Source organism: Homo sapiens, chromosome 15 (genome assembly GCF_000001405.40).
Source record: "Homo sapiens chromosome 15, GRCh38.p14 Primary Assembly".
Classification (NCBI taxonomy): domain Eukaryota; kingdom Metazoa; phylum Chordata; class Mammalia; order Primates; family Hominidae; genus Homo; species Homo sapiens.
Window position 1 is genome coordinate 27899154 of NC_000015.10, and position 17969 is coordinate 27917122.

A 17969-nucleotide genomic window follows, 5' to 3' on the forward strand; every position below is an offset into this window, starting at 1 on the left:
CATATCAAAAGGCTAAAGAAGAAAAACCATATTATTTTCTTCTGAAGCTTCCAGAAGTAGCACAGCCCTCTCTAATAGACTGAGTTTAGATTTCTGACCTCCAAAAATGTAAAAGAATAAATTCGGGTTAAGCCACTCAATTTCTGTTAATTTGTGCAGCAATAGGAGATGAACACACATGATAATAGGGACTTTGCTGATGTGATTAAGTTGAGGACCCGGAGAAGGGGAAATTATTCTAACCAATAGAGGTGGGCGCAATCCAATCACAAGGGCTCTTATGATTATTTTAGAAATTTATGATTAGGTTAGAAATCCTATGATTAGGTTAGAAATGTTAGAAACATTTTACAAATAAGGATTTCCTTTTCTTTCTTGTAAAGCTTCAACCAGCCCCATCATTCACTGATGTACAGAATTCCTTTTCCAGTCCTTGGTTTCTCACTCAGTTCCTTTGACAAGGAGGTTATTCTACAGCGAAGGCAGTGCATCACACCAGAACTCACTGGTCGTACCATGTGCTCCATTACCCAGAAGCAGCTGACTTGATAGAACAGTGGCCTGCTAAAGCTTCAGAGGTACTATTTGCTGCAATCCAAAAGTCAGCAAAGTTGGGGTGCCACCCTACAGCATGCAGTATGTGCTTAAACAAATTACCAATGAATGTCACTATCTCTGTCACAGCCCACTGGGAAGCACTGGTGTGGGAAACAAAGGAGTGAGATAGGAGCACTCCCTCCCTTATTACTATACCCAGTGACCCACTTCAGCAATTTTTGCCCCCTGTCTTAATTATCTTGAGCTCAGTGGATTTGCGGGTCCTAATATCCAAGGAAACACAACTAATAAAGGTACCATTACCTTTATTACCTGAGGTGGGATAGGCAGTCAAGGCAGTGACTATGTTCTCAGGATGCGGCAACCATGGTGACCGTGCAGTCAACAAAATAAGCCTCAGCATTTGCATTGTAATTGAGCTATTCAAGCAAAGCTATCTTCAGTAGGGACTTTCCCCTCTAGAGAGCATGTGCAATTTGACTTTACCTGCCCTCATTATAATAGCAAAAAACATACCCCTGGGTGGAGATTTAAGATGCTAATGAGACATATGATATATGAACAAGCATGTACAGCTACTGCGCACATGCACCCAGAGGAACACCCAGAACATTCTTACTAGCAACACCTCTCCCACCTCCTTATAAATAATCATGTAAGACTCCCATACTGGGAGCCTCCCTAGTGCTGGTCTTTGTTGTCTCATCCTTATGAGCGGCCCGTCCTGAATTTCTCTCTCTCTCAGGGTGTACTGCCTATTCTGCACCTAACTTTCAAAGTATTCTTTTTCTTTTGCAATACTCTATGCTGCACTTCTTTTGCTATGTGTCTCTTGTTTAAATTCTCTTAAACCAAGAAGACAAGAACCAAGGTATCACAACAGGTGTCAGCATTTCATTGGAAGCTGAGAATCCTCCCTGGCCATGTGAAGCTCCACATGTCTTGTGACCATCAAGCAGACAAGGAGAGTCCCTCTACTGTCCAAGATAACTGCTTTCAATTCTCAGAGGGAACTAGGTTGCTGCTTCCTCATGCTGGCAAGAACTGGCCGGGAGCTGGGCATTCACAGGTGTGCCTCCTTACATTCCAGTAGTCCCAGTTCATGCACACCTTGGCACTCGAGTACAGACACAACACCAAGGTCTCAGGTCCTATGAGAATGATGGTTTGGGTCACCTCAACAGTGGATAAAAACCACGTATCTGAAGTGGTGGCAGAGGTCAGGGGAACGTGGCATTAAAGAAGTGAGTTAACTAACAATTCAGACTTCAGAATCAGCTCTGGAAGCCGGGGCTATAGCAGCTCTGTTTTATGGTATTTTGTTGCTTCTCTTCCCCCACTTATTCTCCATTGTCATAATAGGAAGAGCATTGGGATAGCTAACATTTTAAGTTTCAGGTGTTACTGAACCAACATCACCCCATATCACACAGTAGCTGATGGGATATTGTACAGCTCTTGTTTTGAGGACAAGTGATTTTCTCTTGGACTGGACAAACGATGTTTTTAAAATCCTAACAGGCACAAGTGGAGGACTGTCTGGGGCTATCCCTCATTGCCCTTTAGTCCTGCCCCTGGTCTTCTCCCCAGCCTTCTCCCCAGCCCTGCTGCTGGCAGCTCTCCCATCTTCTGGAATCCAGGTAAGTCTGGCCAATGGGAGACACTGGCAGGACTTGATGGGTGGGAGGAACAAGGTCACTGAATCTCCTGGCTCCTCTGGCCAGGCCACAGGTGATCACAGGCCACTAGAGCTCCCATCTCCCCTTTGCCCCTCAGGCCCATGAGGTCGTGGCCTCTTTTCTTCAGGAGTTCAGCACACCCATTCTTTCCCCAAACCTGACCTTTGAGCACATAATCTCTTTCTTTCCTGAGAAAGACCCTACCTCGCAAGGAGGGTGGAAAATAGTCACCACCCAATGCTCAAAGATGTTCCTTACATGACTGTTTCAAGAGGAAAAAGATAGACAATAACCTAAATGTCAACAAAAGGGGAAAAGCTGATGATAGCCTATCCACTTACAATGTAACATTGCACAGATTTTTAAATGATGATACAGAAATACATGCACATGTAAGTCCCCAGACCTAAGTCCCCAGACGTAGCAGGTCACAACTGTTCAACCCAATAGGGCCCTGCTCACCTGGAGTATCCAGGGCAGCCATGTGAGGCTGGGGACACAAGACTTCAGCGAGTTGTGCCCAAGGAGCCAGGGGTTTCTGAGAGAACAGGGTTGCCCACCCAGAGCCACTGTGACCAGAAGGGTCCTGGCAGGGGGCGGAGGGGGAGAGCACTCAACTCATCTGACCTCTGAAATGTATTCATAAAATGAAAGGATTTGATTAAATAATGTCTAATATTCCCTCTGATGGAAATTCCATCATCATGCAGTTTCCAGGCTGCAGTCCTGAACTACGGTGTGGAAAGCATGAGAAACCCCACTGATTCCTTCCAGGCACAGAATATCTGCAAATTTTGAAGTCATGAAAAAAAAGTTGTTGTTGTTGTTGTTTTTTTCTATTTTTAGCAAAGAAGGACTTCTGGGGAAAATTTAAATACGTGAAATGCTTTCTTTTTATGAAGCTTAGATGATTTCCTAACTTTGGGAACACTAAGATGTATCAACGATTTGATTTACTCAACAAATTATTATGCTTGGAATATTATATTTAAGTGGAACTTATTCGTATCATAATTATAGATTGACTAATTAAATTTATTTTTGAGTGCTTTTCCTTTTCCCAAATTAAAGTATAAATTGGTAAATTTGAAGAAATCCAGTTCCTGGGTTGTTTCAGTTAACTTAAAAATAAACAAAAGACATCGCCAAGCCTATGGTAAATCTTGCACTCCTAAAACGTCTCTGAGCACGCACTGAATCCCAGGTTCCCAGGACACGCAGGGGCCTCTCCTGGCAGTGACTGTCCATCTCTGGCGAGTCCCACCTCACACAAAGAGCTAGTGTGAAGTGCCACCAGGGAAACAGAGGGACTTTGGAGATTTAGGAAAGGCTTTGGGAACTCTTCCTCTGCAGGCTGGGGGCGGGATGGCCACAGGGAGATGCACCATACGCGGAAACACTACGTGCAGCCGACCTGGCCTTTGGGGAGGCGGGCAGGCGCAGAGGGACAGAGTCAGAGTGTTCCAGGCACAGTGCGTTCCTCCAAATCACGCTGACGCACACGCGCGTCCCTAGCTGACACCTGAGCACGTGGGCGCTGGCTGGGCGGCCTGCAGAGCTCACATCCTCCACCCCGACCTCGATCCCCTCGGGAGCACCCACAGGGCACCCGGGTCAGGGAGGCCACGAGGGGCAGTCACCCCGCAAGGAAGGAGGCCAAGGGGAAGGAGAGGAGCCCTCTGTGACCCTGAGAGAAGCCCCGAGATCTGCGGGGGTCCCAGCGCTCCTGCGCCCCCTCTCCCCTGGGCTGCTGTGAGGCTGGAGACAGGCTGCAGTAAACTCCACCTTTGTGTCGCCGGCGCCGTGAACCCTCAAAGCAGGCTTTCGCGTAAGTCCCGACGGTCTGTCCTCACCCAGCTGTGTGTGTTTCTCACACAGCTGTTATCTTGTGCTCCGAAACCCCAAGCCCGCCACGGCGGTGCTTCCGCGGGCCCACAGCTGCCCTCCTCTCCTGGCACCGCCAGCCACCCCTCCCGCTCCAGGACGCCTGTGCAGGGGACCCTGCCTCAGAAAGTGTCGCTTGGGAGATGGAAATGAAGACTGAAGGAACTTCCAACTCCCACCTACTCTCTAGGAGGCACTTTCTTTTTGTTTTGTTTTTGTTGTTGTTTTGTTGAGATGGAGTCTTGCTCTGTTGCCCCGGAGGCACTTTCTATTACTGAGAAGAAAACCCTGGAAAGTCCCGGGCTTCCCCCAGGAGCTTGGAACTCCCCTCGCCCCCTGCTTCCTGCCCTCCATCCCCCAGGAGCGGGTCCCTGCGGCCTAGCGGGAGTGGAGAGCGAGGCTTAGGTCCTTAGTGATGGCTTCAAGGCCTGGGAACCCCAGGTCCTGGTTTTTAAACTCTGGACAAACTGCACTCGCATTACCCTGGCTCACTCTTGTGCTCAGGAATTAATTTTTAATATCTGCATAGCATTTCTTACCTATAAGAATGTGTCTTCTTGTTCTAAAAGAATTTTTACATGAATATTTCATGTGATGGTATTGTATAGTATTGTAAGTCACTTTTCTTCTTTTCTCATTAGAATAACCTGTAGCATAGAAACTCTTCCATATGTAAGAAATTGGTCTTAGCTTTTAATGAGGGGATTTTTAAAAATAGTGCAGTGTGCTGGCTATTTGTCAAGAAAACATTACATTTAACATGATGCCTGCAGATAAGTTTAAACTCTCTCCTTTCCCTTTATTCAGCTTCCCTGTGAATCCAAGTCATAGCTCCCGTTCTCATTTCCTTTCGCCTCTGAACCTTTGTGGAGATACCGTCCTGCCGGAGCAGCAACAAGGGAAGCCAGCCCACAGTGCATTGTTCAGCTCCCTCGCTCGCTCCAAAATCCACCCGACCCAGCCCCAGGAGGACCAGAGCAGGGCCCACTGCAGCAGATTCAGGTGGACGGGGCAGAAGTGAGCAGTGCTGTTGGCTGGGAGCGCTGGGGGACAGAGAAAGACTCCCGACCATGCTGGGGCCTAAGAGAACCAGAAGAGATGCGCAGATGAGCTTTGGAGGACGGAAGAACTGCACACTACAGTGCGGGGTGTATCCTTGGCCCAGACACAGGGCAATTTCAGGGAACTCTACTAGGGAGGTGCGGGGGTGGCTGAGAATGGCAGCCCCAGAGAAGAAGAGGGAGCTCAGTCCTACCTGGGCCAGCTCAGTGGCTGGGCTGGAGACACGAGCTGACACATGGAGCAGCAGCTCAGCCCCTCACTGATCATGGGGCTTGGTTAAGTGTATAAAGTTCCTTCTACTGCCAACAGTCTATCCTCCCCAACTCCTGGGGATACTCCAGCACAAACTGGGGAACACCAAGTTGCAAAGTACAAGGACAAGGCCAGGAACCCTAGGCAACAACTCCTCATATTCCCAGCACCCCCCACCTCCTCAAGCTTGCCTGGGTAGGCCTCTGAAATCTCCATGGACCTGGCCTGTGGCCACCACAGCACAGTTTGTTGATTAACATACAGTGGTTCCCTTTTAGAAATCGGCAACACGGGGCTGGGCATGGTGGTTCATGCCTGTAATCCCAGCACTTTGGGAGGCCAAGGCAGGCGGATCACCTGAGGTCAGGAGTTCGAGACCAGACTGGCCAACATGGCAAAACCTCGTCTCTACTAAAAATACAAAAATTAGCCGGGCGTGGTGGTGGGTGCCTGTAATCCCAACTACTCGGGAGGCTGAGGCAGGAGAATTGCTTGAACCCAGGAGGCAGAGGTTGCAATGAGCCAAGATCGCGCCACTGCACTCCAGCCTGGGCAACAGAATGAGACTCCACCTCAAAAAAAAAAAAAAAAAATTGGCAATGTGGACAGCTGAGGACAATGGCAGTGGTATAACTGCTTCTATCCCAAAATTTCCTCCCAAAAGACAGAAAAAGAAAGAAAAGAAAGTAAAATCTACACAAAGCCATGCCTTCCACATAATGTGAAGGTAGAGAACCCCAAAAGTGTAAAATATCTGAACTGAAAAGAGAAAAGTGAAAATACCACCAAACCCCCAGCCTGCTCTCTCTCTCACTGCTGTCCCAGCAACAAAGCTTTACAGCAAATGGACAGAAAGCCCTGAGGGAAGACAGAGGGGGTGCTGAGGTGATCAGAAGGTCCACCAGAACGGGCCAGGGGGAACTGGGCCCTGGGAGGTGCTGTGAGAGGAGCAGGAGCACAGAAAGGGCCCATCTGGGGGCATGCAGCCTTGGGGAGGAAAGAGCAAAGAGGAAGGGAAAGCTCCTTTGGGCAACCAAGTGGTCAAGTGGAAAAGAAAAGGAGGTAAAAGCGGGGTTCCGCAAGGCAGGAGTCGGAGGACTGTGCTCTGCCCGCAGAAGAGCGCCAGGAATCCTACAAAACACAAACAAGCCCAACGGCATTAAATGAACAAGAGAAAAATGAAGTCACACCTACAGAGCTAGTGCAAACGCTATCAGGAGCGGAAATGTCACATGTATCAGCTGAGGAAAATCCCCTCTGAAAATAACCATGAAGCATGTAGAAGAAAACTACAAGCCCACACTTCAAAATGAATTCGCCATGCCCACGCCTCAAGCAAGCATCAAAAATACAAACCCACCTTAAATCAGAGATTTGAAAACAGAAATGGGCAAATAACAGGGAGAAATAAAAAGTTGATTGAACTCAAGGATGAGGTAACCAAGTTTTCTCAGAAATAAGGGGTTGTTTAATGGGTACAAAAAATAGGGTTAGTTAGAAGTAATAAGTTCTAGTGTTTGATAGCATGATAGGGCCACTATAATTAACAATAACTTATTGTATATTTTAAAATAACTGGAAGAAAGGACTTGGAATGTTCCCAAAACAAGTAACAATAAATGTTTGAGGTTATGGATATCCTAATTACCCTGATTTCATCATTACATATTGTATTATTGTATCAAAATATCACATGTCCCCCATAAATATGCAACAACTATTATGTACTCAGAGAAATCACTTTACAAAAGAAATGAGAAATAAATTAAAAGATGCCCAAAAGACAATAGACAAAAATGAAAATATAACAAGGGTCACTAAATAAAGATATCAAAGCAAGTAAGAGAATAAAAATGAATAAGTAAATAGATAAATTAAAAGGGCAGAGATAGTAGTGGAAATGGAACCCGGGCAATGAAGGAATAATATTTGTTTATTGGAGTCCTTAAGGGAAAAAAACAAATAGTAGAATGAAGCTAATATTTAAAACTAAAATCTCTGTTACATGTTCTAGTAAAACTATAAGATTTCAAGGAAGAAGATAAAAATCATCAAGGCCGCACGCAAAACAATCAGACTGACATCAGGTCTTCCAAAATCAAGATATAAACAAAACGACAATGGAGCAATATTTTTAAAAATAAGTCAATGAAAAAAAAAAGTGTAACAAAGGATTCCAATCCAGCCAACTTACAAAGAACAGTTTATTTGGCTCATGGTTCTGTAGCCTCTGAAAGTAGAGGCAGACACCAACATCCACTCAGCTTCTGGTGAGGGCCTCAGGCTGCTCCCACTTGTTGGGGAAGGTAAAGGGGACCCAGGGCATGCTGAGATCACATGGCAAAAGAGGAAGCAAGAGAGTGGGAGGCGCCAGGCTCTTTTAACAACCAGCTCTCACAAGGACTAATAGAGTGAGAACTCATTACCACAAAGATGGCACCATGCCATTCAGAAGGGATCCGCCACCATGACCCAAACACCTCCCATCAGGCCCCACCTCCAACACTGCGATCAAATTTCAACATAAGGTTTGAAGGGGACAAATATCCAAAACATAGCAATTAATAACTTCCGTAAAGTAGAAATATTTTGAAATACAAAAACCTCTTTGCTGCCAGTGCAACCAAGCTAGAAAATTACTAAGAAAAACAAAAAACAGAAAGGTCCTTCTGCCAGGAAAGTTAAAAATGTTCTATTGAAACAATTCTTGTGGGAAATAGAAACAGAAATTACAATTTTTAAAAAATGATGAAAACACTACATATCAAAATTTAAGGGATGCATTTAAAGCAGTAATCAGAGGAAAATCATTGCACAAAACACATTTAATAACAACACTGAAAAAAAGATTAAATATCCAATTCTAAAAACTAGAAAAAAACAAAGTCCACCAAATAAAGGAGGGAGATAATGAAGTTAAAGCAGAAATTAATGACATGGAGAATATAAAAACAGTATATTAATTAACCAACTCCCAGTTGTTGTTTTGAAAAAAATTAACAAGATGGACAAACCACAATCTAACTTGATTAAGGGGAAAAGGGGGAAAAAGCACAAATATTCAAAATAAGAAAGAACAACAAGGAAATAATCATTGAAACAGAAGTAAAATTTAAATCATAAATGACTAATTTGGAAACTTCTGTGAAAATAAATTTTAAACCCTAGGTGAAATGGATAGTTCCCTAGAGAAATACAGATTGCCAATATTGACCCCATCTGATTTAGAAAGCTTAAACAGACCTATTTCCAAAGAAATAAAAAGTTATTGAAGAAATAACTAGCCCACTCCCAAAAAAGAGCCAGGCCAAGATGGTCTCACAGGGGAATTGTATCAAGCCCTCAAAAACCAGATAGTCACAATTATCTATAAATTATTTCAGATTATTGAAAAGAAGGTAAATTTTCCTAACTCCCTTTATGAAGCAAGTGTGACAATGATACCTAAACCACGTAAAGACTCATTAAGAAAAAAAAAGAGTACTACAGAAAAGTATTACTTATGAATATCATGAATTACTAATAAATATCAATGCCAAATAGAAAATGAAATATTAGCAAAAAGACCACCACATTAAGAAAATAATAAATCATAAAAAAGATAATTCATTCCAGAATTCAAGGTTGGTTCAATATTAGGAAATTCATTAGTACCATACACTCTATTAATAGATCTAAGTGAAAAATAATATGATGATCTCCATAAATACTAGGGGGAAAAAATCTTTGTCAAATTTCAACACCCATTCTTGCTTAAAACACTCAAGAAAGTAGGAATTGGTGGATACTTTGTTAATGTGATAAAAAATTACATTAGGTATATATATCTAATCCTAAAGCCAGTATCATATTTAATAGAGAAATACTAAAGGCATTTCCACTATGTCAGTGTGTCAGAATCTCCAAGACCATCCTGACACTTGGAGATTTTCTAGAGGAATTCTGCGAGTCAGCATGCAGTTGCACACCTGACTACCATTCATTACAGCCATGAAGTAAGGACACACAGCCAGATCATAAGGGGAAAAGACGAATGTGGAGTCCACGTGAGTACAGATCCATGTGAGGCTTCCTTCTCGCTCTTCCTCCCATGGTGGGGGCTCACAGAGTGCCCCAGCAATGAAAATGTAGCAACATGTGTGTGATGTTCCTGCCCAGAGAAGCCCATTAGAGACTCAGGTTTTTATTGGGGTCTGACACATAAACATCCTCTGCCTAACATATACCAAAATTCCAGACTCCCAGAAAGAAAACAGGTGTTTAGCATAAATCAAATTGTTTGCATAAACAGTCTAGGCACAGTAAACTGTCCTTATTAGTTAGATAATGGTGGGAATACTTCTGAAATTTGAGTTCCCAGATGCCAGCCAAGGACTAACCTGGCAAGTAGACCTTTCTAAGCATGGCATTCATAGGCCTGCTGTGTTTACCCTTTATTTCTGCTACTATTTAACATTAGACAGGGATATCAACTAAGGATAAATTAACTTATAAAAACCAATGGCCTCTATATACACAAAAAAATAAACAGTAGAGAACTTACTGTCAAAGAAAACCACATGCATAATATCAACAAAGATTAAATATTTTATAATACCTTTAACAAAAAATGTGCAAAAATTATACAACACAATTTTAAAACATTCCTGAAAGACACAGAAGTAGACTTGATCAAATACAAAGACACATCCTGTTCTCAGATTAAATTAATTAACAATATATAGATGACAGCTATTGCCACATTAATGTATGAATTCAATGCAATCTTGATCAAAAATGTCAGCAAGCTATTTCATAATTGAGTTAGACAAGTTGATACTAATGTTCATAAGAAAAAAGAAATATTAAGAATATCCCAAAAAGCACTGAAAAAGAAAAACTAAAAAGGGGACATAACTAGCCCTACCAGACATTAAAACATATTATAAAGCCTCAAACAATTTGATGCTGGTCCATTAACAGACAAATAGACATGTAATATAATAGGAAGTTCAGAAATAGGACCAAGGACATATGAAAAGCTAATGTAGGATAAAATTGACATCTCAAATCACTGGAGTACAAGTGTCCAGTTTAATAAATGGTACTGGGACAACCAGGTAGTCACTTGGAAAAATAAAATAAAATTAGATTCCATATTTCACACTATATGCAAGAAAAAAACCCAAATGTATTAGAGATTTAAATGTAAAATAAGATAGCATAGAAGTAATGGGTGATTTTCTATTTAGCCTTTCTATATAAAACTGAAAATCCAGAGACATAACTAGTAAATCTGTCTACATAAAGTGTCTTAAAATTACATGACCAAAATAAACAAAGACACACTATAAAAAGTCACAAAACAACTAACTAGGAGTAAATAATTGCAGTCTATACCACAAAGAGCTAATATCCCTAATAAATAAAGAACCCTTGAACAGTGTGAAACAAAGACGCAATCGAAAAACAGGACACTGACATGAATGCACAATTAACCAAAAAGGATTCAAAAATGGCCTTCAAACATGAAAAAAAAAAGTTCAAATTCACTTATCATTAAAGAAATGCAAATGAAAACAGCACTGAGATACTATTTTCATAAAACTGACAAAATGAAAAATTATGACATTCTGTCAGGCAGACTAGGAAAATGGCCACACTCACATAATGCCAGTGGGAGTATAACCCAGCACAACTCTTGCAGAGGGAAATCTGGCAATGAAGAATAAAACATGCACTTACCTTTGACTCTGTGATCTGACTTCTAGAAATATACCCTGAAGGTACACCTCTAACAATACAAAAATATTCACCGTAGTGTTGTTTGTAATCACAAAAGACTGGAGACAACCTAAATGCCTCTATGTAGAAGGAAGGTTGAATAAACGATGGCACATTCACAAAATGGGGTACTATATAGTTATAAAAAAGAATTGGGAAGATTTCTGTGAACTGATTAGGAGTGATTTCCAAGACATAACATTAAGCTTATAAAAAGCAAAATGTGAAAGATTATCTACACTATGTTATTCTTCAAGTAATAAAGAAGGGGATACAAAATAAACAGTTGTATGTGCTTATTTATGTTAAAAAAAAAAAACATACGGCTGGGTGTGGTGGCTCACACCTGTAATCCCAGCACTTTGGGAGGCCGAGGCAGGTGGATCACAAAGTCAGGAGTTCGAGACCAGCCTAACCAATGCAGTGAAACCCCGCATCTACTAAAAATACAAAAATTAGCTGGGCATGGTGGAGGGCATCTGTAGTCCCAGCTACTCAGGAGGCTGAGGCAGGAGAATCGCTTGAACCCAGGAGGCAGAGGTTGCAGTGAGCCGAGATCATGCCACTGCACTCCAGCCTGGGCAACAGAGTGAGACTCCATCTAAAAAAAAAGAAAGAAAGAAAAAAAAGAAAAGAAAAGAAATACAAGACAGGTACATCAGCTACTTACAGGAAAGATCTAGGTAAGGTAGAAAGATGAGCAAAGGAGAACAGGATAGTAAGCATGAGGAGAGAGTGATACTTCCTTTCATATACATTTCTGTATGGCTTTGATTCTTAGAACCATGGTAATGGTTCAAATATCCCATCTTAGTCCATTTATGATGCAATAAAGAAATACTTGAGGCTGGGTAATTTAAAGAAAAGAACAGCCTGCGGGCAACATGGCAAAATCCTGTCTCTACAAAAAATACAAAAATTAGCCAGGTGTGGTGGTATAAGCCTGTAGTCCCAGCTACTTGGGAGGCTGTAGTTAGGAGGATTCCTTGAGCCTGGAAAGGTTGAGGCTGCAGTGATTGTGCCACTGCACTTCAAGCACAATAGAATGAGACCCTGTCTCAAGAAGAAAAGAAAAAAGAAAAGAGAAAATAAAAGAGGTTTATTTGGCTCACAGTTCTGCAGGCTGTAGAACAAGCATGGCACCAGCATCTGCATCTGACGAGGACCTCCGGCTGCTTCCCCTCATAGTGGAAAGCTGGTGTGCAGAGATCACATGGCAGGAGCAGAAGTGAGGGAGAAAACAAGAGAGAAGGGGGAGGTGCCAGGCTCTTTTAACAACCAGGTCTCTCACGAAGTAATAGAGTGAGAACTCATTCATTACCATGAGGATGGCACCAAGCCATTCTTAGAGGATCCACCCCCCATGACCCAAACACCTTCCATGAGGCCCCACCTTCAACACTAGAGATCAGATTTCAACATGAGATTTGGAGGGACAAGTATCCAAATCACAGCAATCCCAGCCCCAATAAGTGCATTACAAATAAATAACATAAACATACTGAAGGCTATGGAGAAGAAAAGAATTAATTTAAGAAATTTCAGAAAACCATATTTTGACAGGCTACTGTAAGACTAAAGACAAAAAGAAGTCTACACAAATACTGTAGTTGAGTTAGTAAATCTATTTCTCACAAATATATGAGTTAGCAATTCTGTAACTACTTTAGGTGTATGCTAGGAATTGAACAAATAAGTGAGTATATATTGTAGACAGTGAGAGCAAGAGGCAAATCTTATGGTGCTGGATTGGAATTCAGGGAATCAATATGATCTGAAGGTTTTAAACACATAGACGAGTAAATTAATATATAGATACAGATATGGATGTGTGGATATGGGTGTTGGTATACAAACACATATGCCCAACTATGCTGATTGCGGAGGCCTAGATTCAGCGACATCTAAATTGCTACACACACACCAAGCATCCAGATTTTGATTTCTAAACACCATTCCCCAATACAAGGAATGAGAAATCTTTTGAGAGGCAGTTGATTCCAGGGCAAGAGCAGGCAAAATGCAAAATGATTCAGGAACATTTTATGATGTGAGAAAATGAAAAACTGATTGAAAATTGATGAGGATGTGTCTAAAGACGACAGGAGCCAAATGGACACCGAAGCTGCTCCCAGTGGTCAAAACTGGAATAATCTGAGCAACAAAATAAATAACAATAGTACCGACTTACAACACATAGAATAAAATAAACATCCATGAACTTTTACAAATGTAAATAAATAAAGGAGAAGGATAGCTCTTCCTTATAGATAAGCTCCAGTTAATAAATGTATTAATAGAAGCAATAAGGATAATACAAAATCATCATTAGGCAAACTCTACAGTCATAATGATTAGAGGCAAAGAGCTACTGACAAATGCTAAAATCAGTAAGAAAATGTTTGAGGAAAAACACAATGTTAGTATAATCTCAAAGTATTTCCCCACAAGATAATTTGCCAGGGCTCCACTTCACAATACAGAAACCTGGCAGACACCACATGAGCCAAGTGATCGATGTTAACACTTTCAGTAATAGGACATGCCAATGTTTGTACCCCAATATGATGCACTAGACAAGGCACATCACCTCTGTGATCTCGCCAAAACTTCATAGCCTCAAAACTGTCATGAGAAAACATGAGACAAACCCAAACTGAGAAATCTCTACAAGGTAACTAACTAATACTTTTCAAAAGGGTCCAGATAGACTAAAGAATTTAGACGAAATTCAAGACATATGATAACTAAATGAAATGTGGGATTCTGGATAGAATATTGGACAGAAAAAAAGTCATTAGGAAAAAACTGAAGAAACTGAATAGTATTTGTAGTTTTAGTAATATTCTACTAATGTTAATTTTCTGGTTTCGATAGTTTTATCACGGTTGTATAATTTTTAACTTAGGGGAAGTTGGGTGATGGGTAAATGTGGACTCTCTATACTTTTTTACGATATTTATGTAAGCCCAAAATTCTTTCAAAAGAAAATTTCCTTGTTTCCTTGTTTTTGAAAAAAAAAAGCATTTCAAAAGAAAGAAGGGAAAGATTAGATATATCAAATACATCATCTTAAAAGTGTTATCCATCATTCTCAAATTATTATAATCCAAAAATGTCTTGCTTGCTCTCATTCATGATAAACTATTTCTCCACGTGTTTTGCAATTTTAGATTGTGAGCTCATATATGTTGGTTCTGTCTATAGGAATACTGAAGAGAGGTTCCCCTTATGCTGCTAAATCCTTGTTATAAGAAGAGACTGCTACAACCTGAAAGAAAGTGGGGCCAAAACTGCCATGAAAATCTTCACATACTGTATTTAATGTGCCCATCAGGTCAGATGAAGACATTTTCTAAAGATGAGCTGGTACCATTCTATGAGATGGCCTCAAAGAGTGAATTAGAGAAGAGTCCCTCCTCTTCTGATACCAAACCTAGCAGAGACACAACAAAAAAAAAAAAGAGAAAGAAAGAAAGAAAGAAAGGAAAGAAAGAAAGAAAGAAAGAAAGAAAGAAAGAAAGAAAGAAAGAAAGAAAGAAAGCAAGCAAGCAAGCAAGCAAGCAAGCAAGCAAGCAAGAAAGAAAGAAAAAAATTTCAGGCCAATATCCCTGATGAACATAGATGCAAAAATCCTCAATAAAATACTAGCAAATTGAATCCAGCAGCTCATCAAAAAGCTAATCCACTATGATTAGGCTCTATCTCTTAGATGCAAGTTTGGTGCAACATATGCAAATCAATAAATGTGATTCACCACATAAACATAATTAAAAACAAAAACCACATGATCATCGCCATAGATGCAGAACAGGCTTTTGATAAAATTCAACATCCCTAGGTATCAAAGGAGCATACCTTAAAATAATAAGAGCTATCTATGACAAACCCACAGCCAACATCATACTGAATGGGCAAAAGCTGGAACCATTCCCTTTGAGAACTGGAACAAGATAAGGATGCCCTCTCTCACCACTCCTATTCAACATAGTACTGGAAGTCCTAGCCAGAGCAATCAGGCAACAGTAAGAAATAAAAGACATCCAAATAGGAAGAGAGGAAGTCAAACTATCTCTTTTCACAGACAATATGGTTTTATACCTAGAAAACCCCATAGTCTTGGCCCAAAAGCTACTTCAGCAGATAAACAACTCCAGCAAAATTTCAGGATACAAAATCAATGGCTGAAAATCAGGAGCATTTTCAAACACCAACAACATTCAAGCTGAGAGCCAAATCAAGAATGCAATCCCATTTACATCAGCTATACAAAAAATACAATACCTAGAAATGTAGCTAACCAGGGAGGTGAAAGAGCTCTACACCAAGAATTATAAACCACTGCTGAAATAAATCAGTGATGACACAAACAAATGGAAAAACTTTCCATGCTCATGGATAAGAAGAATCAATATTATTAAAATGGCCATAATGCCCAAAGCAATCTACAGATTCAATGCTATTCATATCAAACACCAATGATATTCTTCAGAGAATTAGAAAAAAACTATTGCAAAATATATATGGAACCAAAAAAAGAGCCCAAATAGCCAAGGAAGTTTAAAGCAAAAAGAACAAAGCTGGAGGCATCACATTACCCAGCTTCAAACTATACTACATGACTACAGTTAACCAAAACATCATGGTAGTGGTACAAAAACAGACACATGGACCAATGGAACAGAATAGAGGACCCAGAAATAACACACCTACAACTATCAGATCTTTGACAAAATCAACAAAAACAAGCAATGGGGAAAGGACTCCCCGTTCAATAAATGGTGCTGAGATAACTGGCTAGTCATATGCAGAAGATTGAAACCAGACCCCTTCCTTCCATCACATACAAAAATCAACTCAAGATGGATCAAAGATTTTAATTTAAAACCTAAAACCATAAAAACCCTAGACAAAAACCTAGGACGTACCATTTTGGACACAGAGCCTGGCAAAGATTTCACGACAAAGACCCCAAAAGCAATTACAACTAAAACAAAAGTTGACAAATGGGGCCTCATTAAACTAAGGAGCTTCTACATAACAAAAGAAACTATCACCTCAGTAAACGGACAACCAATGGAATGGGAGAAAATTTTTGCACACTATGTATCTGACAAAGGTCTAATATTCAGAATCTATAAGAGACTTAAACAAATTTACAAGCAAAAAACAACCCTGTTAAAATATGGGCAAAGGACATGAATAGCTATTTCTCAAAAGAAGACATACACATGGCCAACAAGCATATGAACAAATGCTCAACATGGCTAATCATGTTGCAAATCAAAACCGAAATGAGATGGCATCTCATGCCAGTCAGAATGGTTAGTATTAAAAAGTGAAAAATAACAGATGTTGGTGAGGTTGCAGAGAAAAGAGAATGCTTATACACTGCTGATTCTGCTGATTAGAGTATAAGTCAGTTCAGCCAATGTGGAGAGCAGTTTGGAGATCCTCAAAGAATACCATTCAGCCCACCAATCTCATTACTGTATATGTACCCAAAGGAATATAAATCATTCTACCACAAAGACACATGCATGCATATGTTCATCACAGCACTATTCACAATAGCAAAGACATGGAATCAATCTAAATGCCCATCAACAGTGGACTGAATAAAGAAAATGTGACACATATCATGGAATACTATGCAGCCATAAAAAAGAATGAAATCATGTCCTTTGCAGCAACATGGATGCAGCTGGAAACCATTGTCCTTAGCAAACTAATGCAGGAACAGAAAACCAAATACTGCATGTTTTCATTATTATAAGTAGGAGCTAAACATTGAGTACACATGGACACAAAGAAGGGAACCATAGACACTGGAGTCTACTTGAGGGTGGAAGGTGGGAGGAGGGTAAAGATCAAAAAACTATGTATCAGGTCCTACGCTTATTACCTGAGTGATGAAATAATCTGTAAGCCAAGCCCCCATGACATGCAGTTTACCCCTGTAACAAACCTGCACATGTACCCCCGAACCCAAAATGCAAATTGGAAAGAAAAAAAAGACATTTCCTGCCTAACAGTTTCATTCTAAAATTTCTTCTTCTAAGGGTAAACATGTTTATATTGATGTTATGTACTCCCTATATCCAAGAATCATCCAGAAATTTTTAAACATGAATTTAAAGGACACTTAGCATTTCAAATCCCTATAAAACAAAAGGACAAGTAAAATAACACTCCTTAACACAGGTTATTCATTAACTAACTTTGAAGCCCTTCTAAATCTGCAGAAACATGCTCCATTATCCAAATTTAGAAATACTCAAAATTGATCTTGAATTTCAGGGGACAAGATGCCTACAGTTTTCATTGTACCAACTACTCTATGGTTTGACCAAATTTTCTAGAAGACAATCTGACCTCAGTAACAAAAGTCAGTGCAACATAAATCAATAGACCCAAATGTCTCCAACTGTTTTCCAAAAAATAGAACACACCTGACCTACTGTATGTGCTTCAGAGTGGGGCCTGTTTCAGAGCCACTGCAACATGACAGAAGAAGGATTTGACCCAAAACGTACGCTGGAGAACTCAGGTCCAAAATGGCAGGAAAAGGGCCAGGAAGCCCTCAAAATGTGGAAGAGGTCTTAGGTAGGTGTAAGATAGCAGATGCAAAACGAGAGATGAAAGCCCAGGGCGTGAAGATGAAGGCAGGCCACTCTGAAGGGAATGGCTGCTTGGGGTAGGGGAGCTGGGTGTGTGAGATCTGTGGGGCCCAGAGAGTTTGCCTAGGACCTCTGTATACAAACCTTACTC

The 17969-nt window shown here is 40.7% G+C and overlaps 1 protein-coding gene across 28 annotated transcripts in view, besides 2 other annotated features; it reads right to left on the reverse strand.

Annotated features, from left to right (window-relative positions):
- OCA2 (OCA2 melanosomal transmembrane protein) overlaps window positions 1-17969 on the reverse strand; it is a 380308-nt gene that overhangs the window by 180146 nt on the left and 182193 nt on the right. The gene's annotated exons all lie outside the window — the stretch shown is intronic.
- Window positions 4985-5485: an enhancer, noted in NCBI's record as "H3K27ac hESC enhancer chr15:28149284-28149784 (GRCh37/hg19 assembly coordinates)". NCBI's record gives its function as "activates a minimal SCP1, AML or CMV promoter by ChIP-STARR-seq in primed H9 embryonic stem cells {active_cell/tissue: H9 hESC(primed)}" and the evidence as "EXISTENCE:reporter gene assay evidence [ECO:0000049][PMID:30033119]".
- Window positions 17418-17587: an enhancer, noted in NCBI's record as "experimental_39258 CRE fragment used in MPRA reporter constructs". NCBI's record gives its function as "activates a minimal promoter by MPRAs in K562 erythroleukemia cells, with activity observed for both the introgressed and non-introgressed 15:28161802 variant alleles {active_cell/tissue: K562}" and the evidence as "EXISTENCE:reporter gene assay evidence [ECO:0000049][PMID:34662402]".